We start from the raw sequence: 20,591 nt of genomic DNA on the forward strand, positions 1-20,591 counted from the left end.
CCTGCTTTGGGCATTTGGATGTCTAAAGCAATCAGGACATATGTCCCTGTGTCCTCTCATTGAGTATCTTGAAGGGGGAGACACTCTGACATTACTTCCCCTGACACTGGCCCAGGAAACTTGATCACTGAGTAAGCCCAATATAAGCTGGAGGACTCAAGTTGTAGACTTTTGTTTCTGTTCTGACTGGTCCACCTCCAAACTGCTTTCAAGATTCAGGTCTACTGGCTCCTAAGAACTTCAGTCTTAGTATTATCAAGTAAGGCAGAGAGAAAAGGGAAGGTTTAGGAGTCAGACAAATTTTGGTTTGAATCCTAATTCAGCTACAGCCATGCATTGTTTAATGATGGATAAACGTTCTGAGAAGTGTGTTGTCGGGTGATTTTGTTATAGTGTGAACATCATAGAGTGTACTCACACAAACCTAGACGGTATAGCTTAGGACACACCTAGGCTATATGGTATAGTCTATTGCTCTGAGGCTACAAACCTGTACAGCATGGTACTATAGCAAACACTGTAGACAGCTATAACACAATGGTAACAATTTGTATATCTAAGCAGTAAAAATACAGTATTATAATCTTATAAGACCACCATCTTATATGCAGTCTGTCATTGACCAAAACAGCGTTATGTGGCACATGACCATACTTATTAGTGATGATTTGCCACTAATCTTTATCTATACAGTTCCTACAACTAGAAACTGGAAACAATGTCACAGTGTATCTAAATACTACCTAACAGCAGAAAGCAGTAACAGCTGTATTTATTTAGGGTCACTGCTCACTACCATTCAATTTTCACCTTTACCTTTTTAATGGTCAAAAATATTCTCTTGAGTTTATAGCTCCCCATTTTCCTATGAAGAAGTCAAAATTCAAAGAGATTATTGAACTTTCCCAATTCACACTAAGTGGCACATCTTGGATTGAAACACAAATCAACCTGACTTCAGTGTCCGTGCTCTCTCCCCAAATCCTTGCCCTCTCAGAGACTCCTGTTCTCATGTGTGGCTTCCAACAGTTTGGACTTTGGTCTGCAAGGCCCTCCACAGCCCAGCCTCTGGCTCTCTCCCATCCTATCTCCTACCAATCCCATCTCTGACAGTATTCCTGGTCCATTGTCCTCCTGGCTTTTCCTTGAATACACCAAGAACTCAGGGCCTTTTCCCTTGTTCCCTCTGGCACTCTCCAGTTGTAAGAGGATATTATTCCATTCCTAGCTTCTTCAGAGACTGGGCTGCCTATCATTCTTTGTGGTGGGGGGTTTGTTTGTTGTACTTTTTCTATTTTCTTTGAATGAATTTACATGAGTGTTTCTATCTTGGTCTAAAAGTTCTTAAGCAGCAGGGATTGTGACTAAGAAGATTTGTTTGTGGGAACTTGATATTCACTTTAAGGAGATAATAATAATGATGACTTACTTGTCATTACTGTAGCCTTGGTGCCTAGGACAGTGCCTGGGACATAGTATGCACTCAATAAATCATTGTGAGATGATTGAATTTGGAAGTTACAAGAACACAAATACAAATTATGAAGCCTCCATCTTCATTTGCTCTCCTCACTGTAATTTCTTCATATCTACATCTATTTCCTTTTAGAGTTAATTATTTGAGAGTAAACATAAATAGTGCCAATACCTTGCCATCGACTAACAGTCCTAACTGTATTGATTGGAATAAAACACTACCTAGTTAAAAAAAAAAAAAAAAAGCATGGCTGTCCCACCAGCCTGCACCCTTCCAGATAAGTTCTGCCTTTGAATTTTATGGTCCTGATGATGCTTTGGTTCCAAGAGAGGTCATCTCCTATCTAGTGGCTTGACGCCAGCTTATGGATATTTTATAAAAAGCTGCATCCGGAGGGCTCTCCAAAATGTCTGGCAAAAAATTTCTTTCACTAAAGGTAAGGAAATGAATAGCAGTATTCAAATCTCAGAGGAGTAATTACATGCAGAGAGGAGGCCAGCTGTTCTCTGTCTTTTCTGAAGATGTAACGTTAGGAAAAACGCTGAAATCACAGCAGGCAAGATGGAAGTTGGACAGGTAAGCATGCCTAGGATAAAGGAGTGGGAGGTAACAGAAGAAAAAAAGTAGAAGTATTTCTTTCGTCTGGAAAATCTGAAGTTGCACAAGGCTATGCATCAGTCTGGGTTGATTCAGCCATAGACCACTTTAAGAATAGAACATATACTAAAGGACAAATCCTTTGCACATGAAAGGATGTCCATCAAAACATAAGCATCATTTTGCACATGAAGACAAATTTTATCTTTTTTTGCAATACAGTATACATTTTGCTTCAGGAAGAGAAGTCTAAGAGATGCAGGGATTGAAACTCAATGTTTGTGGTAATCTTGGATTCAAAACTTGATTTTTCTTATACAAGTGATACCCATAAGCAACAACAAAAGAAATCCTTGAATGAAAAAACTCAGACTTGTGCCGAAATTTGATTTTCCAAATATTAAAGATCTTTTACAGCTGTCCTTGTAAATGGGTCAATAGTTTCACAACCTAACTGTGTATTGCTCCCTAAAGAATGGGAGTTTTAGAGGAATATTCTTTTAGTCAATTTTGTAGCAATGTCAGACAGACCCATAATGATGTGAGGAAATAAACCTTGGCCTCAGAGTCGAGAGACCCATGGTGACTCTAGCATTGGCAAGTAACTTCACTTTTCTGTACTTATTTTTTTTAATTAGGCAAGTTCCTTATCCTTTCTCAGTCTCTGTTTCTTTTCCTGTAATTGTAAAATCTGGAGGTTACTGTCTTCCTCTAGATGTGTTAGATGATTAAATACAGTAACAGTCCAAGTCCTGGTATATTGTAAATTTTCAACGTCAATATTTTTTCCTAAGGAAGCAGTCAAAAAAAGAAATTATTTTCCCTCCTCTCTAATTCCAAACAAATGCCCAAAACCTTAATATTTCTTCCCTCAGTGACGTATACAACAGATAAAAGAAGTTGGCTCTCAGTTTCAGCTTAACTTCAAACAAAGCCTAAACTATTCAAACAGACGGTTCTGGCATCCACCATGAGGAATGGCCCATGTCCTGCTTTTTGGAAGCAGTGTTTGGGGTACTATGAAACAACTCAGAGGGGATAGCTGGGTGTGCACACCAGGGGGATTTACAGCACATGCAATGGGTGCCGATTCTCCTCTAAAGTTCCCATGTTCTTAGTGCAGCACAAATAAGCAGAGTCACCGAACTTGAAGAAATGACATGAAAGAATGACTGGCAGCCCTACCAGAGTGGGTCATTTTTCATGATCGGAAGGGTCGCCCCAAAGTTCTGGTGTTCATAAGAACTTGGGACCCTGAAATCTGGGGAGCACCCAGATGTTAGCCTGAATTTCCCAACAACTTGAAGGGATGAAGAATCAGAGTTGTATTTCTAGTTATTTAAGGAAAATAGATGCAATATTTCTTGTACACTGAGGTTTGTGGGCTAAGAGCCGTATCTATAATCAATAGCATATCTAGGAGCACAGGGTCAGCCCTATACACAAAAGGCCTGAGAATTTCCTGAGATGATTTGAATAGGAAAAGTTATTTCTGGAAGTCTGCAAAGGCTCTAGGGAGACAGAATTCTGAGAGGCATCTGATCAGAGAAGAGAGAAACAGTTCAGAACAGAACACAGAGGGAATGGTGCAAGAGGTAGGTCTTAGACAAAATAAACTAAGCAGGAGGCACCTAGATAGTCCCTAGATACTTCAACTCTTTGCCTGTAGACATGAAGCAGTGGCTTGTGAGAAAGTCTCAGGCAGAGCCTGTCACTGTCACTCAGCCGAGCACTGGAAATGGGGTCTTTTGCTTTCCCCCACCACTCACGACTCTCACCTTGTGTTTTATGCTGCTGTGGCCTCACCATTTCTGTCAAGGATCAATGCAGCTGATGTAATTCTCATTAAGGTGTTAAATCATGTGATACTTTTAAACAAATTAAGAAATGGATGGATAAATCTCTCTGCAATAATATTTCATACACTAGAATATCAGTAAAAAATAAATGTGACCACTTTGGACTAGACCAGTTCTCAAAGTGGTTTGAAGATCCCCTCCATTAGAATAACTTGGGGCATTTTTAAAAATGCAGATCCTTGGTTCCCCCCTAAAACTACTGAATCAGAATCTCTAAACCTGAATCCCACGGATCAACGCTTCAAACAAACTTCCCAGGTAATCTTTATGCACGATAAAATTTGAAGACCCTTACCTGCCTGGATGGTGAACACGGACTCTTTTCCAACCTTTAGCATCTTGACTATATCTCTATTTAGCATATATTTCACTGCATGATATTTGCTTACATATCTGCCTCATCCATGTAAACTTTGTTATAATAAAGAGACTGAGAAAGGAAACAGATGGGAAAACTAGAAGGCCTTGAGAAGAAGACATAATAGTATCAATAATGCTGATTAATTATCAATAATCTGATGATTGTGAGAATTTAATTACATTTAAATACTGATGATTGTGAGAGTTTATTATATCCTACAAAGCACTCAACACAAGTGTTAGCATTCTTCCCCCTTTATTCCTTTACACTTTCTATGAGTAAACTAGAATGTGAGTTCTTTTTTTTTGAGACTGAGTCTCACTTTATCGCCCAGACTGGAGAGCAGTGGCGTGATCTCAGCTCACTACAACCTCCGCCTCCCAGGTTCAAGCGATTCTCTTGCCTCAGCCTCCTGAGTAGCTGAGATTACAGGTTCCCACCACCACACTCAGCTAATTTTTGTATTTTTAGTTGAGGTGATATTTCACCATGTTGGCCAGGCTGGTCTCGAACTCCTGACCTCAAGCAATCTGCTCACCTCGGCCTCCCAAAGTGCTGGGATTACAGGCATGAGCCAAGATGCCCAGCCTAAAATGTGAGTTCTTAAGGGGAAGGATTTTGTCCTGTCCTGTGTATCCTTTCCATCCTGGAACACAGAATAGAGATTAGCCCACAACTGATGTTCAGTCAGTGCTTGTTAAGCAGTTGAATTCATTCAAGAGTTTATGGTAGTGGCCTCATGGCCACAATACTGGCTATCTAGAGAAGCTAGTTGCCCTGAAAATGGCTTTTGAATGAACAAGTGATTTATTTAGGATTATCTGGGCATGATACATGCTTCTCCGGTTTGTCAATGAAAAACAAGTGTAGATAGATTGGTATGCATACATAGAAATGTATATGTTTTTTAAAATACTCATAATGGTTGTTTTAATGGGTCACTCATCAGCTGTAACTACCTCTTTGATGTGAGTCAAAGCAAATCAAGGAATGTGAACACATAGCTCACACATAAGTTGAAATTTATGAGCCACAAGAGGTCAGAAAAAGCATTTGAACCTCACTTGAGATTCAATGGGCTGTCTGGGAGAGGTCCAAAGGATATAAACTGCTCAGGTAAATGACCCAGAAATTCCATTCCACCATATCCAGTTCCACGGTTTACCCAAGATCAACAGAATGGAGCAGGAGAGCTCTCAAAGCTAAGGCAGGTGGCTGCCCCAGGAGCGGAAGAGGGCCTATTTTTTTTTTTCTGTTTGAGTCCAAATGCTGTCAATTGTGGAAAAAAGGTAGCTGTTGAGGAAAGAATGCTGGATGCCTTGAAAAACCCAACATACACATGTGTATGAAGAAAGAGACTGTGCCTAAATAAACTTGGATTGGATATAGCCCACATGGCAGGAGGATGGAAGGCTGAAGTTGCAGAGCTGTGGGGAACGAGGGAGGAAATGGAAATGGATGTGGGAAGGCTGTCAGGCAGGAGGTTATGCCTCCATGGAATGAATGGAACCATTCAGAAGCCCAGATTGCCCTGGTTGTTCCCCTTCTGCTCTGTACACGTACAGCCACTAAGGACATCCAGTGGGGGATAGTCAATGCCAAATGCACTGTTCATTCAGTTCATACAGGCTAGTGAAAAAGTCAACTCACTAAGGAATCTCAGCCCAAGTAGTTATATGAATTCAAGTAGGCAATACCACCACATGATGAACTATGGTTTCTATTTTCTTATAAGATCTGAAAGATATAGCTGGAACAGAAGCTGGTTATCTTGGAGAACTTGCCCATAGTCCAGTTCAGAGAAAGCCCGGCCATGAAACATCTTGCTGTAAAGTAGTGAGATAGAGAGGTATCAAATAGTAGGAGGCTTTATATATCAGATTGAATAACTCCTTCTATTTTTTTTCTCTGCTTGACTTTACTTCTCTGGAAACACACTGAGAGTTCTGACCCAGTCAAAAAAACTATCCACTACTTTCTTTGTTTTTTTTTGGTTTTTTTTTGTTTGTTTGTTTGTTTTTGGTTTTTTTTGAGATGAACTCTTACTCTGTCACCCAGGCTGGAGTACAGCGGCACGATCTTGGCTCACTGCAACCTCTGCCTCCCAGGTTCAAGTGATTCTCCTGCCTCAGCCTCCCAAGTAGCTGGGACTACAAGTGTGAGCCACCACGCCTGGCTAATTTTTGTATTTTTAGTAGAGATGGGGTTTCACCATGTTAGCCAGGCTGGTCTCAAACTCCTGACCTTGTGATCCACCCGCCTCGGCCTCCCAAAGTGCTGGGATTACAGGCGTGAGCCACTTCGCCCGGCCCATCCATTACTTTCAATTGCATGTGTGCAGATTGCAGAGCAGTTGATCCGTTGTGCTGGGCAAGATAAATCCTCTTTCTCTATCTCCTGCTTTCAAATTTCACTACCACCTACACTTCCCAAAAAGCACAGTGAAGTCCAGTTGTCTTCATAGCTGTGTGTCAACATGCAACAGAGAAAGGATTATATTCAGCCTGTGGAAGTTGTTGAGATAAAAGCACAAGAGTCAGTCTTGAGAATTTGAAGCAAAAGTCATAGTAAAAAGAGAAAAATGGAGTCTATGTTCACTTATGTGTGTAAGTAAAATCTGGACAGCCAAATCATTTTCTTAGCATCATTCATTTTCAAGGTCCTGTCTCTCATGGCAATCTACTTCAGAGATGTTGAGTGGGTGAGCCACATTGTCTGGTGTATAAAGTGTCTAAGATGTCCTACAGAAAGTGTGGGCTCTTTGAATGTTGTACAAGGCACTCAAAGATCAACCAACATAGGGTGTATCTAAAGGGACACAGGAGTCAACACGGAAAAGCTCTCAATGGCCAAAACTGGAATAAAATAGATAATTATAGCATTGGATTAAAACATAAAGAATAAAATAAATATCCATGAGTTCCTACTGATATAAATAAATTATTGAACAAATAAATGAGGGAGAGGGGACAATTTTTCTAATAAAAAATTCCAAATATTAACTGTAGAAGAAATCAGAGAAATAGAAATTCACCACTAGAAAACCACAGTAGTGGGTGCTGCAGGCAACCATAGGTGAATGGCAAAATTAGTAGAGAAAGTTTAAGGAGAAACTATGATATTTACATAGCTTCAAATTATATCCTCCAAATTATTTGTAAATTGTTGTTGTGGTTTAACATATGTGTAGAGTTCTTTGCTACTTCTCTCTCTAGGAGGTAGAATTTAATTCCCTTCCCCATGGGTGTTCATAGACTCAGTGATTTATTTATTTCTAACAAATAGGCTATGATAAAGGAAAAAAAGTAACCTGACAGATACTACCCTAACCAATTAATTAAGGTGAATATCACCAGTAACAAGTCATTTTGATACCATGTAGATGCTAATGTGATGTGATGAAGAAGACACCTAATCTCTGTGGTATTCTTCCCCCAAATTCATAGCCCCTAATGATGAGGAAACACTAGACAAACCCAAATCGAAGAACACTTTACCAAGATACCTGATCAATCCTCTTCAAAGTGTCAGTCATACAAAACAAGGAAAGACTAAGAAACTGTCACAGATTAGAAGAGATTAAAGAGACATAATGACTAAATGCAATTTGGTATCCTGTATTGGATCATGAAACAGATAAAGGGCATTAGTGAAAAAAAATGATGAAATTCAAATAAAGTCTGTGGTCTAGCTAATATTGTTATGCCAATATTAATTTCTTAGTTTTAATAACTGTACCATGGTTATGTGAAACGTTAACATTAAGAGAAGCTGAGAGAAGAGTATACGATAACTCTCTGTGCTATCTTTATACCTTTATTTCCAAATAAAAATGTAGAAGATACTAATAATAAATTGACATGCAGAAACATAATATCTTGCCAGTGAGGGGGAATTCTAAGGCTTTGCTCTCCCCTGTAGCAAAAAAGATTAACCTGAAGCAAAAAGGAAAATGAAAAAGGTAAACCCTAAACCACCAATCTAAGTCATCCACACTGAGTTTCATAAGCTATATAACTTTGTGAAGAGGAACTTTGATTTTTTGAAATGTCTTAATAAAGTATATCCTGTCTATAAGACAAATGTGTTTCTATATAGTAATAGCACTTAATTTTCAATGTTCAAATATTCATTTAATTCACCATGATACGTGAAGATACAGAGGTAAACAAACCAATTTGAACTTTGCCCTCATGAATCTTAGTCTGACAAAGAAGACAGATAAAACACAAAAAATTATTAAAGCAATGCCAGATTGGAAATATACGAAAATGCAATTTAACAAAACCATGTTCATGCATCATCTAACATCTACGAACTCCCTCTGTAACCCTACAAAGCAGCAAGCATTAGAAATCTCATCTAAAAGATGAAAAAAACACAGTCTAGTGATGATCAAGTGACTTGCTCAAACTCACATAGCTGGTCTGTGGATAAGTGACACCTAGGACTCAGGATTATTAACCCTATAACCTTTAAAACATTCACTATAACATAAGACACATTAAAATATCTTCTTAAGTTGAGAAACAAATTTCATAAAATTCACCCTTTACTAATGTACTTTGTTATTCTGTTTTCACACTGCTACAAAGAACTACCTGAGATTGGGTAATTTATAAAGGAAAGAGGTTTAATTGACTCACAGTTCTACATGACTGGAGAGGCCTCAGGAAACTTACAATCATGGCAGAAGGTGAAGGGGAAGTAAGGTACCTCTTACATGGCAGCCGGAGAAAGAGAGAGAGAGAGAGAGAAACTTCCAAATACTTTTAAACCATCAGATCTCACGAGAACTCACTCACTATCACAAGAACAGTATGGGGGAAACTACCCCCATGATCCAGTCATCTCTCACCAGCTCCCTCCCTCAACACATTGGGATTACAATTCGAGATGAGATTTGGGTGGGGACACAGAGCCAAACTATATCATTTCACTCCTGGCCTCTCCCAAATCTCATGTCCTTTTCACATTTCAAAATGAATCATGCCTTCCCAACAGTCCTCCAAAGTCTTTTCTTTTTCTTTTTTTTTTTTGAGATGAAGTCTCGCTCTGATGCCCAGGATGGAGTGCAGTGGTGCAACCTCAGCTCACTGCAACCTTCACCTCCCAGGTTCAAGCAATTCTCCTGCCTCAGCCTTCAGAGTAGCTGAGACTACAGGTGTGCACCCACCATGCCCTGCTAATTTTTGTATTTTTAGTAGAGATGGAGTTTCACCATGTTGATCAGGCTGGTCTTGAACTCCTGACCTCAGAAGATCTACCTGTCTTACCCAAAATCTTAACTCATTCTAGCATTAACTCAAAAGTCTAAGTCCAAAATCTCATCTGAGACAAGTCCCTTCAATCTATGAGCCTGTAAAATCAAAAAGAAGCTAGTTACTTTCAAGATACAATGACGGTGCAGACATTGCAAATTTTCCAAACTTTTATGCTCTGCTTCCCTTTTATACATAAGTTCCAATTTCAAACAATCTCTTTGTGAATGTATATGACTGTATGCTTTTAGAAAAAGCCAAGTCACATCTTGAATGCTTTGCTTCTTAGAAATTTCTTCAGCCAAATACCCTAAATCTTCTCTCTCAAGTTCAAAGTTCCACAGATATCTAGGGCAGGAGCAAAATCCCACCAGTCTCTTTGCTAAAGCATAGCAAGAGTCACATTTACTCCAGTTCCCAACAAGTTCCTCATCTCCATCTGAGACCACTTCAGCCAGGACTTCATTGTCCATGTCACTATCAGCATTTTGGTCACAGCCATTCAACAAATATCTAGGAAGTTTCAAGCTTTCCCTCATCTCCCTGTCTTCTTCTGGTCCCTCCAAACTGTTTCAACCTCCGTCAGTTACCCAGTTACAAAGTCGCTTCTATATTCTCTGGTATCTTTACAGCAATGCCCCACTACCTCGATACCAATTTTCTGTATTAGTCCATTTTCACACTGCTATAAAGAACTACCTGAGACTGGGTAATTTACAAAGAAAAGAGGTTTAATTGACTCACAGTGCTGCATGGCTAGTGAGGTCTCTGGAAACTTACAATCATGGCAGAAGGTGAAGGGGAAGCAAGGCATGTCTTACATGGCGGCAGTAGAGACAACGAGGGGAGAACTGCCAAACACTTTTAAACCATCAGATCTCATGAGAACTCACTATCACAAGAGCAGCATGGGGGTGGGACCAACCCCATGATCCAATCACCTCCCGCCAGATCCCTCCCTTGACATGTGGGGATTACAATTTGAGATGAGATTTGGGTGGGGACACAGAGCCAAATCATATCATGTACCATTCTATGAGTATTGACAAATGTGTGCAGTCATGAAAACCATGACAGTCAAGATACAGAATAGTCAGATGTCTGCTTCTGACTAAGGGGAAGTAACAATTCATGGATTTAGTGTCTTATCTGAAATAACCAAAAAATAGTGACAAAACATGTGAAACAACAGTTGTCAAGACACTGGACACTGGGCAAAAATGTTAGTGACCTCTGAGAGATGGGAACAAATGAAGTGAACTCTGATTGCCCCAGCTTACTGACTTAGGGTCTGTAGGTCTTGGCACAGGGCAGAAAAGCACAGGTAGTGCCCATAAGACTTCCTGACTTGAGGAGATGCATCTGAGAGTCCAGGTAGACCAAGGTCGTGAGAGTTCATATGGGAGAGTACAAGGGAAGAGAGGCTGGCAAACAGAGACAATCCAGGAGATCAACAGAGAGTCCCTTCTAATATACTGCAGAGTCAGGATCAGTGCCTGTTATGTGAGGGAACTAATCAAAGCCAGTTAAAGAATCACCTGAAAGGATTAGAAAGAACAGTGTCTGAGGTTTGCACAGTGCTGGGAATAGTGCCTATTCTTATTAGCCAGACTGGAAACCTCATAATTCACATTGAGTAGAGTATTAGGAGGATCTTGCCCCAGGAGTGAGGCATAATCAGACCTAGAATAAATGCAAATCTGATTCTAACAAATCTTAACAGAAGAATTCAAACATAACAAACTGTTGACAAATAATTTAATGGTATGCCAGAACAATATTCAAGAATATTTATAAGATTACCAAAATATTCAGCACCTAATAAGATGAAATTCAAAATCTCTGGCAGCCAAAGATTACATATATGCCAAGAAACAAAAAATTATGACTCATAATGCAAGGAAAAGGTCAATAAATTGACACCAACCCCGAATTGACACATATATTAGAAGTAGCAAACAAGGTTATTGAAATAGTTATAATTTTATTTCATATTTCAAAATTTAAGTAGGGACATGGATGATAAATACACTCAAATAAAACTTGTGAATATAAAAAGCATATCTGAGATGAAAAAATTACTGGATGAGATAAATGGGTGATGGGATACTAAAAAAGATAAGATTAATTAATTTGAAGGTACCGTGTTAAACATCATCCAAAATGAAATATACAGAGAAAAAGAATTTTTAAAAAATGGAAAGAGCATCAGTGAGCTGTGTGATAAAGTTAAGTGGCCTAACATATGGGTAATATAATTGGAGTGCCCAAAAAAGAGAAGGAAGACAGAAAAAAACCTGAAAAAAAATAATATTCAAAATTTTCACAAATTGATGAAAAATCTAAACCCACATAAAATTGATGAAAAATCTAAACCCACATAGCCAAGAATCTCAACCAACACCAAACATGAGAAACAAAAAGGAAACTACAGCAAGGCCCCACATAACCAAGTTGCTCAAAACTAGTAATGAAGAAAAAAATATTTTAAAAAGACAGAGAGAAAAGATGCTTTATATGGGGGAATGAAGGTTGACAGCAGACTTCTTATCAGAAACAATGCAAATGAGAAGAAAGCAGAGCAACATCTTTAAAGAAGTACTGAAAAAAAAACTAAAATTGTATACCTAGTGAAAACATCTTTCAAAAACACAACTGAAATGAAGATTATTTTTTTTACAAAATGTAAATGCTGAAAGAATTTATTTCAAGCAGACCCATATTACACAAAATATGAAGACCTTCAAGCAAAAGGGAAAGTGTACCAGATGGAAATATAGATCTACATAAAGATGAAAAGCATCAAAAATGGTAACTGCATAATTATGTATATAAGATTTTTAAATTAATGCTTAATTCTACATAAAGGATAACTGACTTTAAACAAAAATAATAAAAAATGTAGCATGGGCTTATAATATTGTAAAAGTAAAATGTATGACAATAGCAAAAAACTTATGAAGGGGAAATGAGAATATACTATAGTAAAGGTTTTACACTGAGTCAGGATTTCTCAACATAACATTACTGACATTTGGGATGAAGGATTCTTTGTTCTGTGGGAATAGTCCTGTGGTTTGTAGGCTGTTGGAACCATCCCTGACCCCTGCCCCCTGCCCCCAATAGATGCCAGTAACAACACCCAAGATGCAGCAACCAAAAATTTCTCCAGACATTACCAACCAAACGTCTCCCTGAGGCAAAGTATTTTACCCTTGGCAACTACTACTATAAGTGAATGGGAATTATATCACTTGAATGTAGACTGTGATAAGTTAAAGACATATATTATAAGTCATATCGCAACCACTAAAATAAAGGAACAAAGAGTTATATGTATAAGCCAACAAAAGAAGTAAGACAGAATCATAAAATCTACTCCATTGACCCAAAAGAAGACAGGAAAAAAGGTAAAGGAAAGGACAAAAATAATGGTAATACAAGATAATTAATCTAACCATCTCAATTATCATATTAAACGTAAATGGCTGAAATACCCCAATTAAAGCCAGATATTTCCAAATTGTATAGAAAAGCAAGACTAAACTATTTGCTGCCAACAAGAAACACATTATGTATAAAGATGCAAATGGATTAAAAGTAAAAGTGGGAAGAGTTATGTCACACTAACACTTGTCATAAGAAAGCTGGAGGGGTTATTTTAATATCTTAGAGAAATTTTAACATCCTAATCTCAATAATTAATAGAACAAGAACATAAAAAATCATCAAGGATATAAGAGGCTTGAACAACACTGTCAAACTGACCTGACATTTATAGAACACTCCACCAAAGAACAGCAGAACACACATTCTTTTAAAATGCACATAGATCATTTACAAAATAGCCATATTCTGGGCTACAAAACAAATCACAATAAATTTAAAAGGAAGCAAGTCATAAAAAGTATGTTACCTAAACACAATAGAATTAAATAAATCATCAAACAATCCAAAAATTTGCCAAATATTTGAAAACTAAATAAAACACTTCTAAATAATCTACAGATCAAAGAATAAACCAAAAGAGAAATCAGAAAGTGTCTTGAACTGAATGAAAATTAAAACACATGTCAAAATTTGTGAGGTTTAGAGCACTAAAAGCCCATATTGAGGGGGGAAAAGGTAAAAAATCAATGACCTCAGATTTCACATTAGGAAACTAAAAAAAAAAGAAAAAGAGAGAGCAGATAAAGCCCAAAATAACTAAAGAAAAGAAATGACAAATAACAGAAGAAAAAACAATATAATACAAAATAGAAAAACAGCAGGAGAAAAAAGGAACCAAAAGCTGTTTTTTGTGAACCATCAATAAAATATATAAACATCTAGCCAGATTGATCTAGAATCAAAGATGTACACAATTATCTATATCAAGAATAGGGTGAGGAAGGTAACATTATTTGGGATTCTAAGGACAATGGAAGGAAAATAAAGGGAAAACTTTAGTCCTATGATTTTGACAAGTTAGATAAAATAGATAAATTCCCTGAAAGACAAAAACTATCAAAATTCACTAAAGAAGAAATAGATAACTTGAATGGCTCCATATCAAAAAGAAAATGTATTTGTGATTAAAAGCTTCCCATAAAGAAAATTCCAAGCACAGCTTCACTAGTGAAATTTACCAAACATTGAAGCAAGGAACAATATAAATTCTACTTAATCTCTTGGCAAAAATTTGGAGAAGAGAGAATATTTTGAAATTTATTTTATGAGGCTAGTATCACCCTAATATCAACACCAGATTACAATATTACTTAATGGTGAAAGAATGAAACTTTGCCCCTCAGATCAGAAACAAAATTAAATGTCTGCTCTCAGTATTTCAACATTTTACTGAAGGTTCTAGCCAGCGTGGTAAAGTAAGAGAAAAAAATTAAAAGCATCTAAATTGTATCTGTATTGTAAATGAAGCAAAAAGAAACTGTCTTTATTTACAGATAAAGTGATTATCTGTGTAGAGAATCCCTTGGAATCTACAAAAAAAAGGTAGTAGACTAATAAGTGACCTTAATAAGGCTGCAGTATACAAGTTCAATATGCAAAATTGTACTTCTATATACCAGGAATGTACAATCAAAAGTGAAATTAAGATACAATACCATTTACAATAGCATCCAAATATAAAATACTTAAGAATAAATCTGACAAAATATGTGTCATACCTACACACTGAAAACTACAAAACATTACAGAAAGAAATTAAAGAAAACCTAAATAAATGAAACTATGCACCTTGTCCAAGGGATGGAAAACTGAATACTCTTAAGATATTGTGATGGTTAATTTTATGTCAACTCAACTAGGTGCCCAGATATTTGGTAAAATATTATTCTGGGTGTATCTGTGAGGATGTTTTTGGATAAGATGAACACTTGAATTGGGAGACTGAGTAAAACAGATTGTCCTCCCTAATATGGGAGCCCCTTGTCAAGTCAGTTGAAGGCCTGAATAAAACAAAAAGACCAACCTTCCAGTAAGAGGGAACTCCTGCCTGACTGCTTGAATGGGACATTGGCCTGCTCTCACTTTCAGACTGAAACTCACACAATTGGCTCTCCTGATTCTCAGGCCTCTGGATTTAGATCTTAGACTTGTCAGCCTCCAGAATCACACAAGCCAACTCCTCATAATATATCTATCTATCTATCTATCTATCTATCTATCTATCTATCTATCTATCTATCTATCTATCCATCTACCCATATTATATATAATATATACACACATATATACACACACATTATATATATACACATGATATATATTATATATACATATATATGTTCAGATATGTATATATAATATATAATGTGTATATATATAATGTGTGTATATATAATGTGTATATATATAATGTGTGTATATATGTGTATATATATAATGTGTGTATATACGCACACACACACACACAGACATCCTATTGGTTCCGTTCTCTGGAGAACCCTGATTAAAACAGATTTCAATTCTCCCCAAAATTAGCTTATAGATTCAATGCACTCCCAATCAAAAATCCCAGCAGGCTTTTTTGTAGAAATTGGCAAGATTATTCTAAACTTCAAATGGAAATGCAAAAAAAATGTTTTGGCTATTTTAGAAAAATATAAAAACAAAAAGTTGGAGGTCTAACACTACCTGACTTCAAAACTCATGAAGTTACAATAATCAACACGCTATGGTGTTGGCATAAAGATAAGACACATAGATCAATGAAACATTAAGAGAGATTCTAGAAATAGACCCACACCTATACGTACAAGTGATTTTTGCCAAGGTACAAAGGCAATTTGGAAGGGAAAATACAATCTTTCAATAAATGCTGCTGAAACAAATGGATATCCACATGCAAAAAAAAGGAGCTTTCATTTATACCTCATGCCATGTACAAAAATTAACTGAAAGTGGTTCACGGACGTAAAGTAAAATGATAAGACTTTCAGAAGAAAATAAATGGTAAAATCTTTGTGAGTTACACAAAGGTTTCTTAGGTACAACACCAAAACAATCATCCATAAAAGAAAACAATAGACTTCAGCAAAATTAAAAACTGCCACACTTTAAAAGACACTGTTAAGGTAATGACAAAGGCAAGCCATAGTCTGGGAGGAAATATTTTCAAATCACATATCTGATAAAATAACTTTATATAGTCTATATTTAGAACTCTCGAAACCCATAATAAAAAAGGCAAATAAAAATTTAAAATGACAAAAGATACGAGACACACTTCATCAAAGAAGCTATACTGATGGCAAATAGGTACATGATAAGATGTTCAACATCAATAGTCATTAGGGAAGGCAAATTATAACCACAATGAGACACTACTACACATCCATTGGAATGTTTAAAATTAAAGGCAGTCCATACAACGTGTTGTCACGGATGTAGAGCAACCGGAATTCTCACACACTGCTAGTGGGAATGTAAAATGGCACAATCGCTTTGGAAAGCAGATTGGCAGTTTCTTAAGAAACTAAACATGTGATCCAGCCATTCCACTTTTAGATATTTACCAAAGATAAATTAAAGCATATATCCATGTATTTGTACTCAGATGTTCATAGCTGCTTTATTTGTAGTAGTCAAAAACTGGAAACAATCTAAATGTCCATCTGCAGATGAATAAATAAACAAATCATGTTTTACCATACAATGGACTACTGCTTAACCACAGAAAGGAATCAGTTATTGATATACACAGTACTATGAATGAATCTAAAAAAAATGCTAAGTAGAAGAAGCCAGATAACAGAGCACATACTATAAGATTCCATTTATCGACTGGCAGTAGTGGCTCACACCTGTAATCTCAACACTTTGGGAAGCTGAGATGGGTGGATCACCTGAGGTCGGGAGTTCAAGACCAGCCTGGTCAACGTGGTGAAACCCTGTCTCTACTAAAAAATACAAAAATTAGCCGGGCGTGGCGGCAGGCGCCTGTAGTCCCAGCTACTCAGGAGGCTGAGGAGGCGAATGGTGTGAATCCGGGAGGAGGAGCTTGCAGTGAGCAGAGATCACGCCACTGCACTCCAGCCTGGGTGACAGAGAGAGACTCCGTCTCAAAAAAAAAAAAAATAAATAAATTAGCCGGGCATGGTGGTGCGTGCCTGTAGTCCCAGCTATTCGGGACGCGGAGGCAGGAGAATCGCTTGAACCCGGGAAGTGGAGGTTGCAGTGAGCCGAGATCACGCCACTGCACTCCAGCCTGGGCAACAGAGTGAGACTCCATCTCAAAAAAAAAAAAAAAAAAAAGATTCCATTTATACAAAATTCTAGGAAATGCAAATTTATCTACAGTGACAGAAAGCAGCTCATGGCTGCCTGAGAACGGGGTGGCCTTGGGAGCAGGGGGCTGGGGCTACAAGGGCAAATGAGAAAACGTGAGGGTAAAGGATGTGTTAATTATCTTGATTGTGGTGATGGTTTCGTGAATAAATACACATGTGAAATTTACCAATGTGTAACTTTAAATGTGTGATTTGTTGTATGTCAATTATACCTCGATTTTAAGAGGAAGAAAAGAATATATAGAACAGTCACTATGCCCGTTTTCATAAGGCTCAGAAGTAGTTAGCAACACAAAGATTTATTATGCATAGTTTATGGTGAAATAGCACTAACACACACATTAAGCATATGATGATAACAGAGAGATCTTTTAGAATTTCTCAGATGTTCTGCCTCCCATTTTTGGATGGTCTTTACTGCAGACAGGGGTCATATCTGCTCTTCCACTGATATTTCCCTGACCCCTATTGGTCCTGTCCTACTCACTATAGGCAGCAATGCTCATAGCTCACCACCCAGTACCTGCCCTAATGTGAAGTATCTGCAGTGAGATGGAAAGTACTGAAGGGGGTGATCCCCTGAGCATTATAGATTATTCCAGAAGGATGACGTTGCTCATATGGCATGTCAACTGCTAGCTGTCTGCTGTAAGTTAGTAAGAGGATTAACACCATCCTGGAAGTATGGCCCTGAGAATATACTATAAAATAGCTATTGGAACATGTACTATGACCTAGCCATGATAAGAGGTCAGCAAATTCTGGCCAATATACCACAGCATCTGCCATTTGATAAACTTAGCATGACAAGGGCAGTGCTGACTCATGTTGGTATTCTAGCCCATAAAAACATCCTAGGAATCTGGGCAGAGCTGTCTGTAGATTTAAACCCTGATGTTTCGGAATGTGAGAGGAATGAAGGGGCCCACACAGGCTTATGATCTACAGCCAGGAAGCCTTGCTGATTTACAGTGGCCGCCACATCTCTGAACCTTCAGCATTCATCCTCTATTCCAGTGGTCACACAATGCACCAGGTATTGCGTGGTGCCTGGTATTGAGGTCTAACGTGATAACCTGGCTCTTGCAGTGAAACTCAACCTTTCATATTCATTCATTCATATAATAAATATCCATTAGGTACCTGCAATGGCAGAGTACTTTGTTGTATACTGGGGTTACCAGGATGACTAAGACAAGCACTACCCTCTTGGAGGTGAAGTTCACGAAGGGGAGATGGACATTAAATAACTGGTTACATGGTAAGTGATCTGGTGATAATAGTGGTGAGAGCTAAATGTATAGTTGGAAACAAGAGCCTGGAACAGAACAACGTGTGTGGTCTGGAGGATTGGGGAAGACTTTCTGGAGAAAAGGACATCAGAGATGACACCTGAGGGATGAATAAGAGTTCTTCAGGGTAATCAGAGGTGGGAATTTCAGGCTCAGGGAAAGGAGAGAAGAGCACTTCTTGAGGAATGAGAAGCATGCAGCGGAGAGAGGGAAGCAGGACAGAAGACAGATAACAAGGCTCTGCAGACTGTGTTAAAGGTTTGGGGAGAATGGAAAGCCATTAAGGAAGTCGCATTTTACCATCTTTATTACACTGTAAATTCCCTAGAGCACAGGGATTATGTCAAACTAAAAGAAAATAGCCTATCACCCACAAAATTCTACCTGCAAGTAATAATTCTAAAACTTTGCCCAAGGTTCTCTAGGATGCCTAACTGGGGTTCTCTATTTATAAATCTTTTCTAAAATGCCTGATCTCACTTTGCAATTTTGTTCAGGACAATAGATCAAATTCCACCAAACCTCTTATTTGCAGATGAAGTAGCTTACAGAGGAATGCTGTGTCAGTTAGGGTCTAGAAGTTAGAGAGAGGGAATAGCAGAGCTGGAGGGGAGAGGAGAGATCATCCAGGCCCACACATTAGAAGAAGCTTTCCCGGGGCAAAGGAGAGGGCCTGGGGCAGACCCAGGCATCCCAAGCCCTAACCCAAGTTCTTTTGACTCTAGGATGTTCCTTAAAGATTGTCATCTGGTTTTGCTTTTTCCTTATCACCCTCCTAAAAGTCAAACACAAAAAAACACAGTAACTAGAGGGTTCAAGATTGTTGGATTTCAGCTAATCCAGGTTGTTTTTTGAGGTAGAAGAGCTGAAGTGGAATTGGAAGCAAGTGAAGCATTAAGGCAATGGAAATTTCCTGGACACCTGCTTGGGCCAAGCATAATGCCAAACACTCAGGACCCCCAGTGTTGCTCTCAATAGCCCTGTGAGACCAGCATTATTAGCCCCATCTTACAGATGAGGAAACTTGGCCTTGTTATACCTTGCCCAAGACCTACAAAGATAGTAAGTGGTTATAAGAAAGAAATCTGGAATTTCAATGTAGGTCAGTCTGGCTCAAAAGCCATGTTTTTCCTAGTCAGCTCCACGGCTGATTAGGTTGGGTCCCCACACAATGATGAAATCACCTTATCTTTTGGAGAATTTGCCTGCTTGCTGCTTGTTACTCTCAAATGCGGGACTCTGAAAAGTTTGCCACGTTCCCAGGAGATACTGATCTCCACGTTCCCAGGAGATACTAAGACCTTCCTCCCCAGGGAATTTAGCACCTGGAGTAAAATGGCCTACAGTGGGTTAGGCCCAAAGCATGACAAGACAAAGACACAAGAAATCCCCAAACCAATCTTTTCCTCTTATTTCATTGGAGCCTTTTACCATGTTGGAAAATTATCTCTACCCTGTCCAAAGAGCCACTAAAAGTGAATTCTCTACACTGGCCTCCTGTGTCCTCAGGCAATGAGGGACATGCTCTCTCTCTCTCTCTTTCTCTCTCTCTGTCTCTCTCGCTCCCGCTCTCTCTCTCTCTCCCTCCCTCCCTCCTTCCTTCCTTCTCTCTGTCATCTTCAGTTTCCCCAGAGGGAGCAGCAATCCTGCTGCCCAGCAATACCCAGAACTTTGATGTTGTTTCTTGAGAAGAAAGAAGGAGGAACCAGACATGTGTCATTCCCAGAGAGAAAATGAATCACAACTCCTGTAGTTACTTGGAAATCTCTGAGGTGCTACCCTCACCCCATCTCCTCACCCATTCCAAGAGAAAGGGTTCCAGTTCATTGTTCCTTGGGGGCTCAGAAAGAAACAAAATGTCTTTTTTCTCCTTTATCCAGAAAATATTTCTCAACATTCACTCCATCCAGCAGATAAGGCTATTTTAACACTGTTTGCTTTCCAGATGTGT

At 38.4% G+C, this 20,591-nt stretch overlaps 1 long non-coding RNA gene across 12 annotated transcripts in view, besides 1 other annotated feature; it reads right to left on the reverse strand.

The window, feature by feature from the left end:
• The window catches only part of DIRC3 (disrupted in renal carcinoma 3), a 506,425-nt gene that overhangs the window by 249,497 nt on the left and 236,337 nt on the right, over nt 1–20,591 (reverse strand). The gene's annotated exons all lie outside the window — the stretch shown is intronic.
• Nucleotides 17,939–18,507: an enhancer, noted in NCBI's record as "OCT4-NANOG hESC enhancer chr2:218416177-218416745 (GRCh37/hg19 assembly coordinates)". NCBI's record gives its function as "activates a minimal SCP1, AML or CMV promoter by ChIP-STARR-seq in naive H9 embryonic stem cells {active_cell/tissue: H9 hESC(naive)}" and the evidence as "EXISTENCE:reporter gene assay evidence [ECO:0000049][PMID:30033119]".

The sequence above is a fragment of the Homo sapiens genome, chromosome 2, assembly GCF_000001405.40.
Source record: "Homo sapiens chromosome 2, GRCh38.p14 Primary Assembly".
Lineage (NCBI taxonomy): Eukaryota > Metazoa > Chordata > Mammalia > Primates > Hominidae > Homo > Homo sapiens.